General features: G+C 43.8%; 3 annotated features.

Moving 5' to 3' along the window:
* Nucleotides 12,039–12,538: an enhancer, noted in NCBI's record as "H3K4me1 hESC enhancer chr10:44510639-44511138 (GRCh37/hg19 assembly coordinates)". NCBI's record gives its function as "activates a minimal SCP1, AML or CMV promoter by ChIP-STARR-seq in primed H9 embryonic stem cells {active_cell/tissue: H9 hESC(primed)}" and the evidence as "EXISTENCE:reporter gene assay evidence [ECO:0000049][PMID:30033119]".
* Nucleotides 16,833–16,912: an enhancer, noted in NCBI's record as "active region_3306". NCBI's record gives its function as "activates an Ori minimal core promoter by ATAC-STARR-seq in GM12878 lymphoblastoid cells {active_cell/tissue: GM12878}" and the evidence as "EXISTENCE:reporter gene assay evidence [ECO:0000049][PMID:35858748]".
* Nucleotides 19,043–19,362: an enhancer, noted in NCBI's record as "active region_3305". NCBI's record gives its function as "activates an Ori minimal core promoter by ATAC-STARR-seq in GM12878 lymphoblastoid cells {active_cell/tissue: GM12878}" and the evidence as "EXISTENCE:reporter gene assay evidence [ECO:0000049][PMID:35858748]".

Genomic DNA, 19,726 nt, shown 5'->3' with positions numbered 1-19,726 from the left:
GATTTAAACCCAGACATTGCTGACTTGGGCTATGTAACTCTCGTCGTAACTCACATGCTTGTCTCATTCCAACACCCCCTCACATACACACTGTGCTTTGCCTCCTCCCCCGGCTAAGTGGAGAGGCTTTACTTTTAGGTCAGGCTGCACCATCACTACTTTTACTGGAATTAATGACATTTATATGTGATGGCTTTTAAAACTAGATTTTCAAAAAAGAAAAACAAAAATATGTTCATAATATTTTTAAAAAACATGTTATTTGTTGGGTACAGAATTCATATAATATCTATTAGACCGACTCATTAATACATTTTTCTGATCTTATCCATCCTTACTACTACGCTTCTGGCTGATTCATTAGCTTTCCCCACTGTGACCATAACTTAATTATTTCTAATTGTAATTCTAAAAGTTTTGGCTTATAGATTCGGAGACTATGTTTTTAGTTACATTTAGGCTGAAAATCCTACTGAAAATACATATTTTATTAGTAAGTAATAAATTGCTTAATCTCTAAAATGCTTTCCCTTAAATACTAGTTTTATCTAATGTTAACATTGGTGCAATCACTTTCTGTTGGTTAGTAATTCCATGGTCCACCTTTCCATTTCTTTACTTTTAATTTAATTTTTCTTTGCCATTTTATTTTAGATGGATGTTTAGGGCCGGGTTTTGTTTTGTATCATTTATTTGTTATAATCAAATGTAAAAATCCTTTAATTTATAATTCAAATTTAGTGTTTACATTGCAATTACCCATATTTGCATTTATTTTTACCATATTATTTGGTGTTTTCTCTGTACCATGTTTTTTGTTCATTATTTCTTTGTTTCTTTTTTCTATCTTGTATAAAACTGGTTAGGTTCCCTTAATTCATTTTTTCCTCTAATGATTTTGAAGTTTGTACTCTATTTTCATTTTTTTAGTTACCCTCAAATTTCCAATTTATATACTTAAATAAACAAATATAAAATTAATCATTCTTTTACTTTCATGCTGAACAACACAAAGATACTGAAATATATCAGTTCTGATTCCTACCCTTCTACCTACCATGCTATTGCTTGTTAGTACCTTAGTTGTACCTATTTTTAAACCTTCCCCAAATTTTCTTTTGACCCCCAGACACTGCTGTTTTATATTTCCTAACATATTTGCCCTTTTTTTGGTCACCATTTGTTCCTGGCAACTGACTCCTACCTCAGGTTAAATTTCTATCTAACTACAACCCATCTTTTAGTAGTTACATCTTAGTGGGCTTATATGGGAGAAACTTTAGTCCTTGTTTTTTTGAAAATGAGATTATTCCTTTATTTTGGCATTAACTGTTGTGGGGAAAAATCTGTCAATATAATTGTCTTTGTAAGAAAGAGTGTCTCTTTCTCCAATGTTCTCTGGTTTTAATACATCTGGTGTAGTTCTATTTTTATTCATTCTTCTCCAGAACTCCCGTGCTTCCCTAAAATAAAAATGCGTATTTTCTTTAAATCTGAAGATCCTCAGCCTTTATCTCTTTAAATATTGCTGGTCTTCCTTTTTCTTTGTTCTCTCCTGGAATTCCTGTTTCAAGGACCCAACCTCCGTCCTCTCCATGTCTCTCAGCTGCTGCGTCTCTTTCTTTCTGTGCTGCATTCTCTTTTGCATCCTCGGAACCATCTTCCTGTTCACCAGTCCCTCAGCAGTGCTTCATCTGTGTTTTGCTCTGCCACTGAGCTTTTATTTTTCAATGACTATACTTTTCACCTAAAGAACTTTTGTGGCCTTCTTTCAAATCACTTTCTACACTGATTAATGCTTTGAGTATGGTTTTCATTTATTCTCTTATGTCTTTCATACTTCGAAATCTTTTTATTTCATTGTTCTTTTCAGATTAATGCACTCTGCAGTTTTGAAGGTGCTGATTCTGTTTATTGCATTTGTTGACTCTCCCTCATGGTGGATCATTTTCTTTGTGGTGGGTTTTTAATTCTGATTGTCAGCTCATCTTCAATGAAGTTGTTTTTTCAGTGGGAGTCCCATGACCTCTGGGCTGTGAAGTTTCCCTACAGCAATAATTTCACATTTTCTTCTGCTAAAAATACAGGACTTTAATGGTCTTGAACAGTTATTTTAATTTCTCCACTTGGAATTCCCACACCAGACTGATCGTACAAATTTGGATTGCACATCTGTGTGTGTGCAACCTGGCGTTTCAATTTTTCAAGGATGACTTTCTATCCCCTCTCCCCCAGACAGTAAATTTTCTTATAGTATTCTTGAGTTTTTGAGTTTCTATTTATAGTAAGGGACAGCTTTATGAAGCTCTAGACTTTATGCACCGACTTCAGTTCCGACTTCCCCTTACTATGGTCCAATACCCCATCCTCATTCTACAGAGGGGCGAGATCCCAGCCTCTGCCCCAAAGATCTCCCTGTCTGTCAGCCTCCTCATTCGACCCTTGGAAAGCTCACTGTTTTCTTTTTTCTCTGAGGTAAACTAAGTGTCAAAATTTTTTTATTTCTACCTTATGAAACGTAGAGTGCCTATTTTACAGGAAGCAAAACTAAGTCTCTAAGTAGTTAGGACCCTCGTCTAAGGTTGCAGAGTTAGCTCTGTGCCCTTCAGGGTCCGGCTCCAACCCATCTGGCTCTGTACATACCCTTTTCTCTCTCGCCCTTGTGTCTTGCTGTCCTATACATCTGTCCCTGATGCCCAGTGCCCAGAGCATACCAGGAATTGTGAGTGCCATGGAGCAAGGGTGGGTGGGGACCACTGCTGCACTGGACCTTGATACAGGTCAGAATATGCGTGGAGACTCTGCCTTGCTCTCCAAGGGTGGCCCCCCAGCAGCACCAGTAGACACTGGGGGCTAATTGGAAATGCAAGTTCATGGACCCCACTCAGACTTTCTGGATCAGCATCTGTAATAAAAAAAAAAATCCCCATGTGATTCCATGATTCGCATCACAGTGAAGTCGGAGAAGCACTGGCCTAGAAGTAATCTAGAATTTATATGTTGAGAACCTGAAGCCAGATGGGTGTGGGATTTAGTGACAGGCATGTCTGAAAGAGGAATTCAAGGCTCACACTTCTCTCTTCCAAGAGCCATCTCTTGTTCACATGAAAGGTTTTCCCCTTGAGGGACCCACATGCCAAATGTTAATCAACCTCCATCTGTTCCCAGGCTAAAGACTTTGGCCAGTCCCCCAAACAGCATTCCTAAGACCTCTGTCTCTGGAAAGGCAGCTTGTTCCTTGCTCTACCCAGACATCCACTGTCAGCAGAGAACTTCCTGAGGAAAGTGCTGATGAGAGAGCCCTCTGTGGCATTCGTGGGTCAAGGTTTTCTTGTGGCTCCAGGGTTGAGCAGAGAGGGACCCACATTAGTCAACTGGGGCTGCTGCTGCAAATGCCTCAGACTAGGCAGCTTAAATGACAGAAGTGTATTTTCTCAAAGTCCTGGAGGCTGGAAGTCCAAGATCAAGGTGCTGGTAGGGTTGGTTTCTCCTGAGGCTTCTCTCCTTGGCTCGCAAATGGCTGTTTTCTCCCTGTGCCCTCACATTGCCATCCCTTTGCATGTGTCTGTGTCCTCATCTCCTTTTCTTATTAGGACACCAGTCATATTGGATTTGGGCCCACCCTAATGCCTCATTTTAACATAACCACCGGGCCCTAGCTTCAAATATAGTAACCTTCTGATGCTATACTGGGGGCTAGGGCTTCAACATAGGAATTTGGGGGAAAAGGACTCAGCTTATAGCACACCCCACTTTCCATGGAGGGAGGGTTTGAAAAGTTGCTTTTCCTCTACACACAGTGTGCCACAGTGGCTGTTCTCTCTGACGCATCACCTGCTATGTTCTCGCCAAGCCTGGAAGTGGGAGAGCAGGCTGGTGAGGGAAGGAGGGAAGACAGAAAAATGCATAAAGATGTAAATATATTTTCTCTTTAGTCAAAGCCGGCATTTTTCTCTGAGAAAGTCCCTGGTCATCCCGACTTCTGCTCTGGTGTGTGTTTGCAGCTGCTGCTGCCACAAGAACAAGACCTTCTCTTTAGCTCGAGGCAAACTTCAGTCCAGTTTCCTTTTTGTTGTTTTTAAGCTAGAATGCTTATTTTGACCCCATATGCAGTCCACCAGCTGGAATTCAAATGCCCATGAAAAAATGTTTCAAAGACATATGTTTTTAAAACTGACTGTCTGTAAATCCCCTGTGAGGACCTGTTGCTGCTTTTGAAATTCCTAAATCCATTATGTTCTCAATCTTGCCTAAATGAGGAGGTAGGGGAGGTTTATTTTTGAAAGGATTTTGAAGTCTTCAAGTATACCCCCTGGCTAACTAAAAATATGAGAGAGATCTCTTTTGTAGTTCCCGAATGCTCTAAGTTCTGATGACTATCAAATGCTTTTATCAAGGATTTTGTCCTTGTTCCTCCTCATTCCCTATACAGGTTGAGCATCCCAAATAACAGACTCCAAAGTCTGAAATGCTGTAAAATCATAAACTTTTGAAGCACCAACATGACACTCAAAGAAATGTTCACTGGAGCATGTCAGATTTCAGATTTTTAGACTTGGCATGCTGAACTGGTAAGTCTCATGCAAGTATTCCAAAATCCAAAATACCCAAAATTCAAAACATTTCTGGTCCCAAGCATTTCAGATAAGAGATTCTCAACTCCTATTATTTATTAGGATTTGTTGTTAGAATTCACAGTTGCCCAGAGAGATTTAAAAGGACTGAGATTAAGCCCTGCAGCAAATTAAAACAGACACAGACAAGCTGGGCAGAGTGGGATTTACAAAATGTGTGAATGTGTAACTGTACCCTGAGAGGAAAGAAGGCTGGACTGTCCTCCAAGGTTAGGGAAACACCTTTGTTACTCAAGCCTTCAATTTGCCATCCAAGCCTATCTAAGCACTATAATCAAGACAATCATGTGAAGTCATTCCTAGGTGGCGACTGAACAGAAAACTCTCCCAGTGGGCAGAAGCCAGAGGAGGTGAAGCCCCAGCCCCACCTTGCCCCAAGATGTACCTCGCAAGGATGTGCAAAGTGGCCACACCAACCTTTCACAGATAGCACCACCTTGTCAGGGATGTTCATCCACAAAAGTAGGCACACAATCTCAGTTACCCCCACTTTGGTTCTGTCTCTAAAACAAATGTAGAATTTGATTAGACACGCACAGAAAAAGAGGCAAGTATAATCAGACCATGTCAGACTTTATACATGGTACATAAAATTTATGGGAGCCCATTGTTTTAGACTGGGCACCTGCTCTAAGCCCAACAGGCCAAACCAAACCAGAATGGAGTCCCTCATGCTAGGTGCCACATAATCAAATCAAACCTAGAAATGGAGATTCTGAAAAACTCACAGCAACCAATCAAAAGGAACCCAGCCAACCTGAGCCAGCATAATAAGGAAGTACCCTCAGCTTTAACCCCATAAGGAAAGCAGCTTTGAAACACCAAATTCATTTTTTGTAATCTATTTCTGCTTTCTTCAGCCTTTCCTGCCTATAAAGCCCATCCCTCTTCTCAAGCTAATTGGAGCACCTATTTTGTAGATGGAATGCTGCCTAATTCATGAATCACTAAGAAAAACCAATTAGATCTTTGAAACTCAATTCGTTGATATGTTGTTTTTTGACACGAGTAAACAGAGAACAAGGATGGGCTGGCATCAGGACATGCCCCAGAGATGCAAGAGGACAGCTCCCCACTCACTCCTCCCCAGTAGGCTTCCTTATTTATTCATGGGGAGGCAACAGCTGCCGTTTTTCTTCTTTAGCCTCTGCATTCAATGAGGCTGCTGACTGCTGTGCTCCCAGACAGCTCTACCATTACAATGGGACACTTGAGGAATTATCTTCTAGTCTTTTCTCTAATCCCTAACCTTTGATTCTCACAGAATCAAACCTAAATTAAGAGTCTAGGGATCCCCTTCTCCTTTGTCATTGGAGAGACTGAGGCTCCAGCCTGGTCAAGGGTCTCTGATTCAAAACTAAACGTTCTGGACACACTTGGAGGCCAGTGGAATTAGATCATGATTCTTTCCCCAACATTGATGTACTTCCATGAATTTAGAAAGGGACAGAGGGTCTCCTGGGAGGAAAGGAACTACAAAAATGAGCCCTTCTCCCCATCCACTGAGACTTGAAACTATAAAAATATGGGTGGCAAACCAGGATGCCCTACCCAAGTTTAGGTTGCCAGAAAGGAAAAGAGTTTCCTTAAAAGGAAATCACCTTACACATGAGAACCCATTCATGGTCACTGGGGGTGGCATCTTCTTATCAGCTCACATTAGATCCCATCTTGACACAACACATTTAGCAGCATGTGTGAACCCAGAGGGAAAAAAAATGTATGTCTTTTGGTTAAAAAAAAAAAAAAGGAGCAATATTCTTTCAGGGCTCCGGAAGATTGTCTTTGAGATACCCCCTTAATGATGAATCCAAGGTGTCCCTACACCCAAGGGTCAGATAGCATTGACTGAGGCCCCCCTGCACAGTGGGAATATGGGGAAGCCCAGGGGTCCTTAGGGAGAAGGCACAACAGTGTCCTTGTCGTATTTTTGTCAGAGGCAGAGTTGTGCAGCAATTTATATCACTACAGCTGCCAGGGAGGGAGGAATTTCCCATGCTACCATCTGTAAGCCAGTTTCTGAGTCTGACCTCCAGGGGCAAGCCTAAGTCTCCAGTACTCACCCCAGACAAGCTGTGAGAACACCCTGGCCTGACACCAAGTCAAGGGTGTGCTCCCTTTCGAAATTCCTGGGAACAGCTGTGGAGAGGAGTCCCAGGGCAATGTTAGAACTCTCGCTGTGCAGGAGGACTGGGGGGAGTGTGCCATTGTCAGGGAATCTAGTGTTTATGGCATACAGTATAAACATGACCGCCTTTGTCCTCTCTAGCTGATAAAGTGTGAGACTGGCTGGTTTGGTTATGTAGACATTGTTTCTACCAGGCCACACCTGTTACTGTTCTGTCCTGTGTGATATGGCCCTGGGCCTGTGGATGCCTGTGTTGAGGCAATGAACACTGAGCCTATTGTATTAAGTTCTAATATGGTTATTATGGGGAGGCCTGCAAGGCCAGGTGGTTACATGAGATTTCCCCTAAAGTGGGTAGGGCGGGTGGGCATTCCTGACATCAATAATTAGGAGAAAGAGTTTATCAGAAACGAAATAGAAACTTCCTCTTTCTACTAAGGCAAGCAGATAGGGGACCTCTCACATCTTACTCTGCTTTCTGGACATGGGTGGTTTGATCACTAAGTGTGGGATTCTGGCTGGAAAGCTCTGAGACAACCACCCTGAAGTTGAGCCACATCACTCAACTTCATGCCACTCTATTTCTCTTATGTTACCCCCAACTCCTGCAAAGGCTTGTCTAAATGGCATGGGCTTGCCTTGGTTTTGCTACTAGGAAAGGGGCATCTTTCTTCATTAATGCTGAGTTGTTCAGGACACGCAGTCCTGCCAAGGATAAGAAGTAGGGACAGTCACACAGAAACCCCAAGGCAAAGGTTTGGGTTTGGGCACAGGGGTATGATTCTCCCTCTGCAGCCAACCTTGGGGAGGAGCTCTGTTTTACCTCAAGGAAGCCTAAATCTTCTTACAGCCATGACTGGAACTGATAAGTGACAGGTAATGGAAAGAACTGAAGGCTCTGTTAGCAGATAGAGGAAGCTGGGTCCTTGAGTTTGCTGTTCAAATTGACAACAGTATGTGCCAACTTAGCCATTCCCAGAAGCTGGATGCTGCTAGTAGCTCTAGAAGATCCAGTTCATCAATCCAGCAACATGTGAAATACAGCCAGCATGTTTCCTGGACAATCCTCTGTTTAATTTCATTAGTAAAATTTTCTGGGGACCCCTGTGGAGAGAGTTGGCTTGGGAATTTGGGAAATAAATAGTGAAGATAAATATTTCAACAGAATTTCTCAGAGGCACCAAAGAAATGTAATTGAGTCCAGGAACTGAAAATTTACTTTGACTGTTATCACTGTCCACAGGAGATTTGTCACAGGGGAGCATAGCACATAGATTGATAGGGGATGCTGAATGCAAGTCAATGGATCATACAGTGTGCGCTTTTTTTTTTTTTTTTGGTCTGGCTTATTTTACTCAGTATAGTTCACTCTTGTTGCCAAGTCATAATCCATTGTATGTATATACCACAGATTGTTTATCCGTTAATCTACCAGTGGGCATTTAGATTGTTTCCAGTTTGGGCTACTACAAATAAAGCTGCTGTGAACATTGATGTATAAATCTTTGTATGGATATATGCTTTCATTTATGTTAGATAAATATACAGGAGTGGAACGGATGGATTATGTTACAGGCATATATTTAACTTTTTTAGGAGCCTAGCAAACCATTTTCCAATGTGTAGAAGAGTTCCAGTTTCTCCACATTCCTGTCAACACTTGGTATGCTGTCTTTTTCATTTTAGTCACTCAAATAGCTGTGTAGTGGTATCTTTGTGGGTTTCATTTACATTTTCCTGAAAAGCTGAGCATATTTCCATGTGCTTATTTGCATATTTATGCCTTCTGTGGTGAGATGTCTGTTCACATCTTTTGCACATTTAGTTGTTTTTCCTTATTATTGAGTTTTGAGAGCTCTTTACCTATTTAGGATATTAAGTCTTTTTTTGGATATTTTATTTGCAAATATTTTCTCCCAGATTGTGGTCTGTCTTCATTCCATCAACAATGAAGAGCAGAAGTTTTAATTTAATGAGTTCAATGTACCCATTTCATTTTTATTTTATAGATTGAGCTTTTGGTATAGTATCTTGAAAAAATCTTTGCCTTACTCAAGAGCATGAAGATTTTCTCCTCCGTTTTCTACTAGAAGATTTATAGCTTTTGATTTCACATTTAAGTCTATGATCCATTTGAGTTAAGCTTTTGTATATGATACAAGACATAAGTTAAAAGTTCATTTTATTTTGCATGGATGTGTCCATTGTTACAGTCTTTTGTTGAAAAGACTTATCCTTTCTCCACTGAAATGCTTCTGCATTTTTCTTGCAAATCAATATCCCATATAACTATGTTTACTTCTTGACTCTTTGTTTTGTTCCATTGATCTTTTTGTTTATCTTAATGCCTATACTACACTATCTTGATTACTGTAGCTTTATAATAAGTCCTTAAATCAGGTAGTGTTGGTCTTCCAACTTTGTTCTTTGTTTTTTTTTTTTTTTTTTTTTAAGCTGTTTTGGCTACTATAGGTCTTTTAAATTTTACTCTAGGTCTTTTGAATTTTAGAATTAACTTACAATTTTTCTCTTAAAAAAAGTCTGCTGACATTTTGATTGGGATCCTATTGACTCTGTTAATTCAGGGAGAATTACATCTTAATAACGTTGCATCTTCTAACTCACAAACAACATATTGCTCTCTACTTATTTAGGTTTTATTTAATTTTTCTCAACAACGTATTTTGTTATTGGTGTAGGTTGAGGTCTTTCACATGTTTTGTCAGATTTATCTCTAAGTATTTCATATTTAGTGCTATTCTAAATAATACTGTTTTTAATGTTAGTTTTTGGGGGGTTGTTACTATAGCATATTAAAATAAAATTGATTTTTGTATTTGATTTTTGTCTTGCAATCTTACTAAATTCACTTATTAGTTCTGCTAGCTTTTTTGTAGGTTCCGTCAGATTTTCTACATAGGCAATCATGTGTCTCCAGGTCCACCGGGCTTGACCCTGGGCCAGGCTGAAGTCAGCAGAAGGGCATCACTGCCTGCAGGGAGGGACTGAGAGGAAGAGCGAGCACAGAGCACAGAAGCCAGAGCCTTCCAGGGGAGACTTGGGAAACCCAAAGCTAGGGGTCATCTGAGAAGAGAGATATCTTTGGCAAAATCCAAAGTCTGGAGAAAACAAATCCAAACTGGAGAGGAAGGAGAGAAGGGCCAGGCTGTGCAGAGGCATGGCCCAGGGCAGAACAGGATGCCACGCTGAAGCTGAACACTGTTCCTGATGCCTCGACACCTTACTCCACACCTGGAAGCCTGCCTTGTGCCTTGATTCATTACAAGTTTCCTGTCCAGTCCTTTTCCTTTTAGCTTGGATGTCCCATACATCCTCTCATCCATTCACTCAATAGTCATCTGTTAACCCATGAGTCAAGCTCCAAGCTAGGCATGAGGGATATAAAAGGTAAGAATAAGCCAGTAAACATAAAAGTTGCCTTTGTGGAGCTCAGAGACTACTGAGGGAGGCAGATAAACACAACCAAAGTTATGGGACAATGGGATTAACTACATAGGAAAGTGACTTAGAAAGATCTTTGAAGCTAAGCATAGCAGTGCTAGCTCTGCCTGGGTGAGTCAGAGAGTAGTCCTTTAATTATATTCCCTACAAAATAAGTGAGTTCTTTAGGGAAAGGGGAAGTAAAGGGTGGGAGGGCCCTGCTCTATTTCTGAATTCTCTGTGGCTAACTCAGGGCCTGGCACATAGTCACAGTTCAAGTTGGTTTTGCAATGGACTGACATTGACTTTTCAGTTTTCTCTATTTTTATCCATTTCTTTACTGCTGCCAGATTATTTCCCAAAGCATAGAGCAAACAACAGGCAGTTCTCCAGGGGTAAGCTTCTCCACTGCACCAAAGCATTCTCAGAATTAGGAGTGTATTCTCTAGCCCTGTGGATCTCTCGGTTGTTTTTGCTTTTGTTTCTATTTTGGTGGCTAGCAACAGAAAACAACCATGGCTTATGAAAGCAAAAGCATTTTTAATTGAAAGGCTATGAGAGATTCAAAAAATAGAAATAGAAGGACCAGACTTCCAAAACGACAAGACTCAGGACTCAGGATAGTTCAGGGATGTGGAGGACTTGAATTGATGATGGCCTCTGCCTTTGGGGTGCAGTTACTGGGGCGAACGGAAGCCCAGGGCAATCGCACTTCCAGTTTCTCCTCTCAGACAAAAATTCCAAGGAGAGAACAGTGGATTGACCTGGCTTGGTCCCATCCTGACTTATTGGTCAGCAAAGATGGGAGCAGGTTAGGACAACTTGGTTGACAGCCCCACTAGAAAGCTACCCTATGGAGAAAGGGCCTCCAGCACAAAATTAGGGAGCTGTTACCAGAAGATGAGGTGGACACCAGGCAGGCAGAAGCAAAAACAAACAACAAAGTGAAAAAAATGCAAACAGTCAAGAATGTTTTTGACCACTCAAGCAGTAAAAAAAATCTCCAAAAGTGGGTACAAGTGACTTTTATGTCTCATCCAACATTTCTCTCTTTCATACCCCCTTTGCTCCAGTGAAACTGGCCCTTTCCAATGCAGGAAGCAGCAGGCTCACATGCCTGCAGGAGCTTTTCTGCACCACCACTCCCCACCCCTACCCCCTGAGATTCTTGCATGGCTGGCACCTTCTGGTCACTCCTGGTCAGCAGGCTCAGATGCCATCCACTGCACTTCCTGTCTCCTCCCGCAGGCCATCCTGACTGCCTGCTATGGTATGCCAGAGAGGGGCTGGGCCATTCACTTCTGCAGAGAAACTAGGGTGCTCTCCTCACCTGTGAACCCCAGTCCCCAGCCGAGGCCCTGGTACCACGTCGATGCCCAGGGAAAGCTGAGAAGGGAAGGTGGGCAGGGCCACTCCCAGGCCACAAAGCAGGTGCTCTGCATACACTTCTGCTCACTTGTGCCACATTCAGACCTGTTACCTCATTTGAAAATGACCAGCCTCTAAAACTCATTTCTGTAATATTACATTCTAGTCATCCATCAAATTCTGGCTTCCAGAGCAGCCAATATTCTCCGTGTGCCTGGGATATAAACGCATTGAGGCAGCCAGAGAATGGGATATGCCACAGACCAGGGTCAAGGATGTGGCTTCTAATGTCTGCCTTGCAGCTAATTGCTGTATGGCCAGATGCTCCCTGAGGCTCCACTTCTCCAAGAACAGGAGGAGAGGCTGTCACTCCCTGGTTTCTGTAGCAGGAGGACAGAGGTCCTAGAGCCAGCTACGCCCAGGTGTAAATCATGCCTTTCTCTCCTACTAGCTTTGGGGGCTGGATAATTAATTTAGCCCCAAACTCCACTGATATCAGAAGCTCCTGGTGAACTCTTGGAAATTACAGATATTTTGACTCTAGAAATGTTGATTTAGGAAGTCTGGAAAGAAACTCAGAAATCTGTATTCCAAAAGCTTCAGGGTGATTCTGCTGATCAGCGAGGCTGAGGAGCCACTTCCTCAGTTGCTCTGAGCCTGTTTCCTCATTAGTAAATGGAAATAAGAACAAAGTTTTCTTCAGAGGATTTTTAAGAGGGCTCATGAGATAATGTGTGCACACTTCTTGGCAGGCACAGTGGGCACGCCTGTGGGTGGTTGGTCAGTGGTGGTCGGGCCAGTAGGGATGCCTGAGACTGTCCTACAAGGCACTTCATCTGGCACTGGACAGTGATGAGCATGGCGGGTGCTTTCCTGGCCCCAGGGAGACTGTGGGCCAGAGCAGGGGAGACAGACAGCACACAGGACACTGAGGAGGCATTTCTGTTTGCCATTCTCCTTCTCTGGGCCTGCCACTAAACCCTACCTGGACAGTCACTGTGAGGGTGGCCAGAGCGCAGAGCCCCAGGACACAGCCTGGGTGCCGGGGACAGGTGGGGCTGGAGAGGCAGAGAGAGACCACATTCTGAGTGGAGAGCCAGCCGGATGCTGACGCAGGCGGAGATAAAGAGGCGCCTGGTAGGAGGTGGGGGCGGAGTGGGGAGAATTCACAGGGGGCTGGGTGTCCAAGTAATGGGGAAGCTGCAGGTTCAGTAGGTGTTGCATCTTGAGGGCAAGAGAAGTGGACACGGCTCTCCATTCCACTCTCATCCCCACCGAGCAAGTCGAGTTCTGACGAGGCGGCGAGGCCGCTTTGGGATCATTTCATTCCTGGATGGAGCATCACAGCAGAGGTGATTCAGAGGCAAAAGACTCAGGACAGGTTCCTGGCACAGCCAGGAACCCTCGGCTTCCTGGAAAAGCTGAACCACTATGTCCCTAGTCCTTAGTGAGTGCCTATGAGGAGGGAGGGTTACGACTCTAGGGTATGGGGTGAAAATTTGGTAGAGTTTAGAATAATTTAGAAGAATAAGGATTTCTTGAAGGGGGAAAAATGAGCTATGTAAGAATAAGAAGTAACAGTTTAAAAAAATCCAAACAGGATGGAGTTATAGGTTGCTCTGTTTTGAAAACAAAATTTCGGCACCTGGGCTAAAGGTCGAAGCTGATGGATCAGAAATCAGTTCAAGGCACCAAATTTTGGGTACTCAGGCAGCAAGATGAGCCAGCAAGAGCTCAACTGTCCCTGAAGGTGTAAAACCTCAGGGAAGGAGCTGGAGCCAATTGCAGGCCCTGTAAAAAGGCCATAGGTGCCTGTGCAACTCGTAATGAGCAAAGAAGACACCTGGAGTTACATCAGCCAAGTGGTAGCTTCCAGCTCAGGACCTGAGGGCTTCAGAAAGGATTTGCCCTCAATCTACACTTAGCAGACTGGTGTCTTTGAGCACATGTCAGCTCAGTGAGTTGTATGGGGCATGTAGTCAGAGCATGTATGTGCCATGATAAAAAGAGGAAGAAAAAATGGGAAGGAAGGAAGGGAGGGAGGGAGGGAAAGGAGAAGGGGAGGGGAAAAGGAAGTGTGAAGATGAAGGTGCAATCCCAAATTCTCCACCCTGGGTCCTGCACACTGCACTCCTGTGCAGATCAGATGGGCTCATGCACCTATAGCAGCCCTGTGTCAACTGCTGAGCCTGTACCATTGCAGGGGGCACAGTAGCACTGGAGGGGCCCACCCCTCTAGATGAGTATTAGTTCCAGGAGACAGGCTTTAAGTTTAGCCACATCTTCACCCTAACAGACAGCAATCCCTTGATGCTGCAAACCCATGCAAGGGTCCTCTCTGAACAGGATTTCCTTATTGGTTAATTCTATAGGAAAGTATTTTCCCCCTAAAAACTTAAAGAAAATAATTTCAAATTGGCTGCAGTATGGAGAGAAATCTAGGTGTAATCAAGCCTAGGGCTCATCAGATGAAGAGCAATGGAAGATGCAGAGATACAGAAAGGCAGGATGGGGTGTGGTGGCCCGAGAGCCTGGACCGGAACCACAGGCTCAGCCCAGCCCTTTCCCATCCTATGTCTTTATGCAAGCTATTTATCCTCACTGTGCCTCAGTTTCTTCATCCAGGAAATGGGATATTAAAAGTACCTCTTCACATGGCTGTGAAAAGCAAATGGATTAGCACACATATGAGCTAGAACAGACAGCGTGGCATGTAGTGACACTGCACGGGGTGCTTATTCTTATCAGGTTCTACAAAGCTCTGCTTCCCAGGTGTGCTTTGCCACTGCTGACCTTTAGAGGGAAATTGACTGCAGAAAAGATGCCAATCATTAATTTCTGTGATCTCCTGCCCCCAAGCTTGCAGATCAGAGCTCAGAAAGGATTTACATGCTCACCCTGAACTCAGAACATTTTTGGCAGAACTTTTCCATCCCAAGGAATTGCCAATTAATTATATCGAGCATGCCTTGCTCTGAGCTAGAAATGTCATAACAAAGATTTTCCTTCAAGAGATGGATCAGGGGGCCTGTTTGCCCTGAAAACACCAGGGAAGCTGATAAGACATTCAATGGATGTGCTGCCCTGCAGAGGAGAAGCAGAGGAGGAAAGGGGAGGAGAAACAGCAGCAAAGGGAGGAAGAATAAACAATTTTGAAAGGCACTTCAGATTCATTTTATCATCACGCAGGTCAGAAACTGTTTTTCAGGGCACATTAGCACCACCTCGCTCTCTGCACTCTCTCGCCCGGTCCTCCATGGCTGTGGCCAAGCAGAGGCTGGGCACCATGTCATACCTTGCTCTGTTCTGTCTTCACCCACATCTGATAGATCATCAAGCACTGCTGGTTCTGTCTAACCCCGCGTGGGTTCAGGATTTCATTACCAACACATGGCTCACTTAAGGAAATCTGTCTGGCAGGAAAAGTGAGGACAGCTTTGGGTTTCATCCTAAGAGAGAAGTCAAGATGAGAGGGAAAAGCATCCACCAATGAAAAATATCTAAAATTCAGGCCAACTGCAAGGAGGCATCTTTCACCCCATCCTGGGCAAGTGTGCTCTGCACTCTGCCCTGTACCCCACATGGAGATCTGACTTTTCTCATCTCTGCATCCCCGTTTGATTGCTGCCAATCAAATGCCCCTGAGCCCACACACGCCCTGCTATCCAAAGGCGTCTTCTCACAGACCCTCTCTGTGAGTCATCTGGCTCACCCTGGCCCAATGTTGACATCCCTGTGTGTGTCTCATTTTCAAAATCCAGAAGAAAGACACTGCAACTGGTCAATATGGTGCCATATGGAGCTACCCAGCTGGGCAGGGCTTTCCCAACAGGCCACTGACAGAATACCTAAAGTCAGCTGCTTTCCAGCAGGCTCAGACCCACAGTCCTGTCATTTATAGCAATATCATGTAAAAATATATATATATTTTTTGACCTTCGGTGGTCAACGCACTCATTTATACTTCTAGCTGTGTGTACATTGGGCATCAGCGGGTATGGGCATGCAGGTAATCACTCATTAGAGGGGCAAGAGGAAGGTAAAGAACAACCAGCTCCTGAACACATTAAAGCTCTGTTGGGGTCATGTTGTATTTCATGAATCCAGACCCATGGCAAAGAAGAGTTTGCCATAGCCAGTTACAAATTGTTTCTTTTACAATGTTCATTCTTATCAGCAGTTCATGGGAGGAGTGTCTCTACCGCAACCCACCAGGGCAACCCCACACGTGAAGTCAGCATTTAAACATTGGCCAGGGATGCACCAGACCACCCAGGCTCCCACAAGCTCCCAGCCCGGTGCCCACGCTGGCCAGGCCTGTGCTGGCTGGAGCTCTGGGACCTGGATTGGGGCCGCCAAGATGCTTTGAGAGGTCTGACATTACCACTTATTTAACCATGCTGTTGAGGGTACAGGGCCAGAGTGTGGTCTCCATGGCAACTGATTGCAGCATTGCACATATCTGGAGGGAGAAGCACATTTTTAGATGGATGATAGAGGAGGTGGTCTGAGAAAAATGTCCAGATTGTTTAACTCTTTTGTGGCATTGGGAAACTTATTTAAACTTTGACTTCTTTTCCACAAAAAGGAACTATAGATGTGTACATGGATTTCAGTGGAGATTGGTAAGAGCAGTCTAGAATAGTATTTACCCTCTAGAATAGAGGAGGATAATTTGGCAAGGGGTGGCTTCAGTTTCTGAAATTGGCTCCAGTTTTAGAAATGACAGAAAGCAAATGACATCATCCCGGTGGCCTGACAAATACCTTCAACTTATTCCATTATTCTACTTAGCTCTTTAATCTTAAACAAAAGATGGCTAAAACTGTGACTTTCATAGAGTTCCTCCATGGTAATACTACATATGGGTCACTCCATTTCCTTCCTGGGCTAGTAAATACCTCTGCTTTTATGGTGAGGACTTCTGCCAGCTGTAATGAGCTCCCCTGCGTTCCCCAGGGCTGAGAGCAACTGTGTTGGCCCCTAGTGACTCAGCTTCCTGTGCACCTGGTTTCAGGTCTGAGCCCTCAGGGAGCTGACCTGGGGGAAATGGCTCCTCCTTCATGAGATCAGCATGGCTCCTCATGCCATGAGGGGCAGGCACCAAGGCCTGCCCAAGTCTCCTCTGAGCTCACAGAGGGCAGCCCCTGACTGGCTAAGCCAGCCTTATGCCCCATCATGATCATCTGGGCACAGAGCCTGGCCTTCTATGACAGGGACAGAGGGCTGCTGCCAAGAGCTCAGTCCTGGGCTGCTGTCTCTCTGCAAATGGGGAGGAAAGATGTCCTCTTCCAGCCCGTGGAAGCTGGGAAACCTAGCAGATATTCGAATGAGTTCCTAGGACCTAGAGAGCTGATAATCAGGGCTCACAGCTGCTGAACTGAGCTCCCAAGTAGAGCCTCAGCCCAGGTTGGTCCAAGAGTAAAAACAAAGCAGTCCAGAAGACCTAACTAACAGGGAGCTTAAGGGAGCAAGCTAAACTCTACAACACCCTAGGAATTAATACCCAAAATATACATCATGTTAAGAAATAGCTAAAAGCAGTCATGTAGAATTTAAATCTTATCTCACACCTCTTGGAGTAAAATCAAGGTCAGATTTTACTCTGACTTTACTCTTAGATTTTACTCTTCCTCTGTCTTACAGCAGCGAGAGAACTCTGAATGCGCTTGATAGATACAGATGGATATGATTGGTCAGGAATTTGGCAGAATGTCCGTAAGATCAATTGCATGTAGTGCATTGAAAATGCTATGTTCTGGGGTGGAACTGCCTTATTTCAGAATATATGATGCTTGAGGGCTTACAATTATCTGAAAGAAAAAACCCCAGAAATAAGATGTCAACAACTTCATTTTTGTAACCCATATTGATGACTGTGAAAAACTCTTTGGCATCAATAAAACTTGAGTGATTGCCTTTTCCAATTGTCCAAAATGAGAAGCAGACCCAAGCAGGCACATTTCTGCCAAGGGAGATTTCTCTTAATTATCCCTGAACCTCACTGGCTGCAGGGCTTGGTAAACAGCCGCAGCCTCTGCTCTCTGTAACATGACCTCCTGTATAGCACACGCTCATGTGCACAGGCATCTGCACATACATGCACAAAATGCACACCTAAGAAGAGAAACCAGCAGGACCAAACTGGCTTGGAAAGATGACGACGGGACTTGCTAGGTAAGAGTGTGGGCAGAGCACAGGATAGATGACAAATCTTTGCCAAAAGTTTTATAACATGGGACCCAGTTCGCTAAGAGGTCCTCAGCCTCCGTGTTTAGATAAATGAGGGTTTAAATTACTCAAAAGTGACTTGCCTTCTAAAACCACACAGAATTCTTTTTTTTTTTTTTTTGCAATAAAACCTCAAGACTCCCAAATCTCAAAGAAGCAAAAAAGCCATGTCCCTGAGGACTAAAATAGAAAGAGAAGGAAGCGGCAGCCAAGAACATTATTTCCAGCTCACATAGGACCACCCCTCTGTTTGCATACCCGTTATGACTTGGAAAGGAGGTTAAGGGTCCAGTTTAACCCACCAACATTAATATTTTGAGGCCAAGTGGCATCTTCCTGGAGTGGGGGCCGAACAGGCCCGTGGAGAGCGTGCGTTCTTTCTGAACCACGACAAGGCTGCAGTGCCTTCAGTGCTTAAATCCAAGGAGCCAAAGATAATTTCCAAAAGACTGTGCTTTCTAAGGGCAGAAGGTGAAGGGAACAAACAATGCTCCATCTCCCTGAGGACTGGGAAGATTATTAGGTTACCATTTCAAGACAGGAACATTCAGACATGATGTAGTATTTGGACTCAAGAGTGGAAGGCTGAACCCAAAGCAAATCAGTTAAGCTTGAATGTTGGGGAAGTGATTTCTCTTCTCCCAACTTGACTATTTTCTCCCTGTGTTGATTCATTGCATCTACAAACCTTAACACTTTTACCACGTGACTGCTATTTTTCTCTCTATCTTCCCAAGTCCCCTCATTAGAAACCACTGTTGGCCAAACAAGCTAATGAGCGGGACTGTCCTGGCCAAGCCACAGGAGAGACAATTACAGACTTTGACTGCAGGCCGCACACTCACTGGTTCTCATTCTAACCTCCATTCTCTTCCTTCTTTATCCTCCCTCTGTTGGGGTGAACATTTGGCATCAAATGAACCTAGGTACGGTTCTGTGCGCTCACTAGTGCTGACAGTGTAGGCAAGAAACAACTTTCTGAGCCTGTTTTCTCAGATGGGAGATACAACCCACCAGGGTGAGAATTAAATGAGGTGGTTAATAAGGGTAATGCCGTTAACCCACCAGCCCTGAGCTCTATTACACCAGCCCTTTAAAAGCAGAGAGCTTGCCCTGGCTTCCCTGTGGCGTGGGTGGGTACAGAACTCCCAGGGGCTTGTTTCACCAAATTTCCCCACAAAGCCCTGCATAAAACGCCATTGTAGGGCCCAGCTCTGTCTGAGAGAGCCTGTCAGGACAGTTCAACAGCCTTGTTTCCAAATAAGTAGAAATATGAAACAGGCTGGTAAACTTTTGTTTAAAATCTGACCTCTTTTTTAAGATGACCATTGTTTTCCTAAATTCACTTTCCTTCCTTTGCTTCCTGTCCATAAAGAAAGTTCACACTCACAGGCTCGAAACACCTCACAGCATGGAATGCACATGATGTCACCCAGGAGGACCTCTACAGGGGAATTCCAAGTCAGAGCCATGCCACCGTGAGAAGTCACCACGAGTCTTGGGCCACGTGGGTCATGTTCAGATGCTCTGGGCTGACCTGTGAGCCCGAGAGAGAGAGAGAGAGAGAGAGAGAGAAAAGAGGCCACAGAAGGCTCTGTCGCTGATGGGCTTTCCAGATGGCGATTTAAATTATTCTGAGTTGTCTGAAATAACATTGCCCTTACTGCTTTTATGTTTTTCTTATATACTTTTTAATTCTAATAGATAAAAGGCTTTTAAATGATTTTCCATAAAGGTATAAAATTACCCCTGCAAAGAGAAAAAATACTAACGCATATAAATAAACATATTCTGTTTACAGTTTTTTGATTGAAGGAGAGGTCAGGGATGCTTTGATTCCTTTGCAACCCCTCCTCCCTTCATTTTAGAATGTGCCGTCATCTTCTCTTTCTGCTTCCTTCCACCTTTGAAATGCTCCCACATC

This window comes from Homo sapiens, chromosome 10 (assembly GCF_000001405.40).
Source record: "Homo sapiens chromosome 10, GRCh38.p14 Primary Assembly".
NCBI lineage: Eukaryota > Metazoa > Chordata > Mammalia > Primates > Hominidae > Homo > Homo sapiens.
The sequence above is the reverse complement of the archived record's forward strand: the minus strand, read 5'-3'. Positions and strand labels throughout refer to the sequence as shown.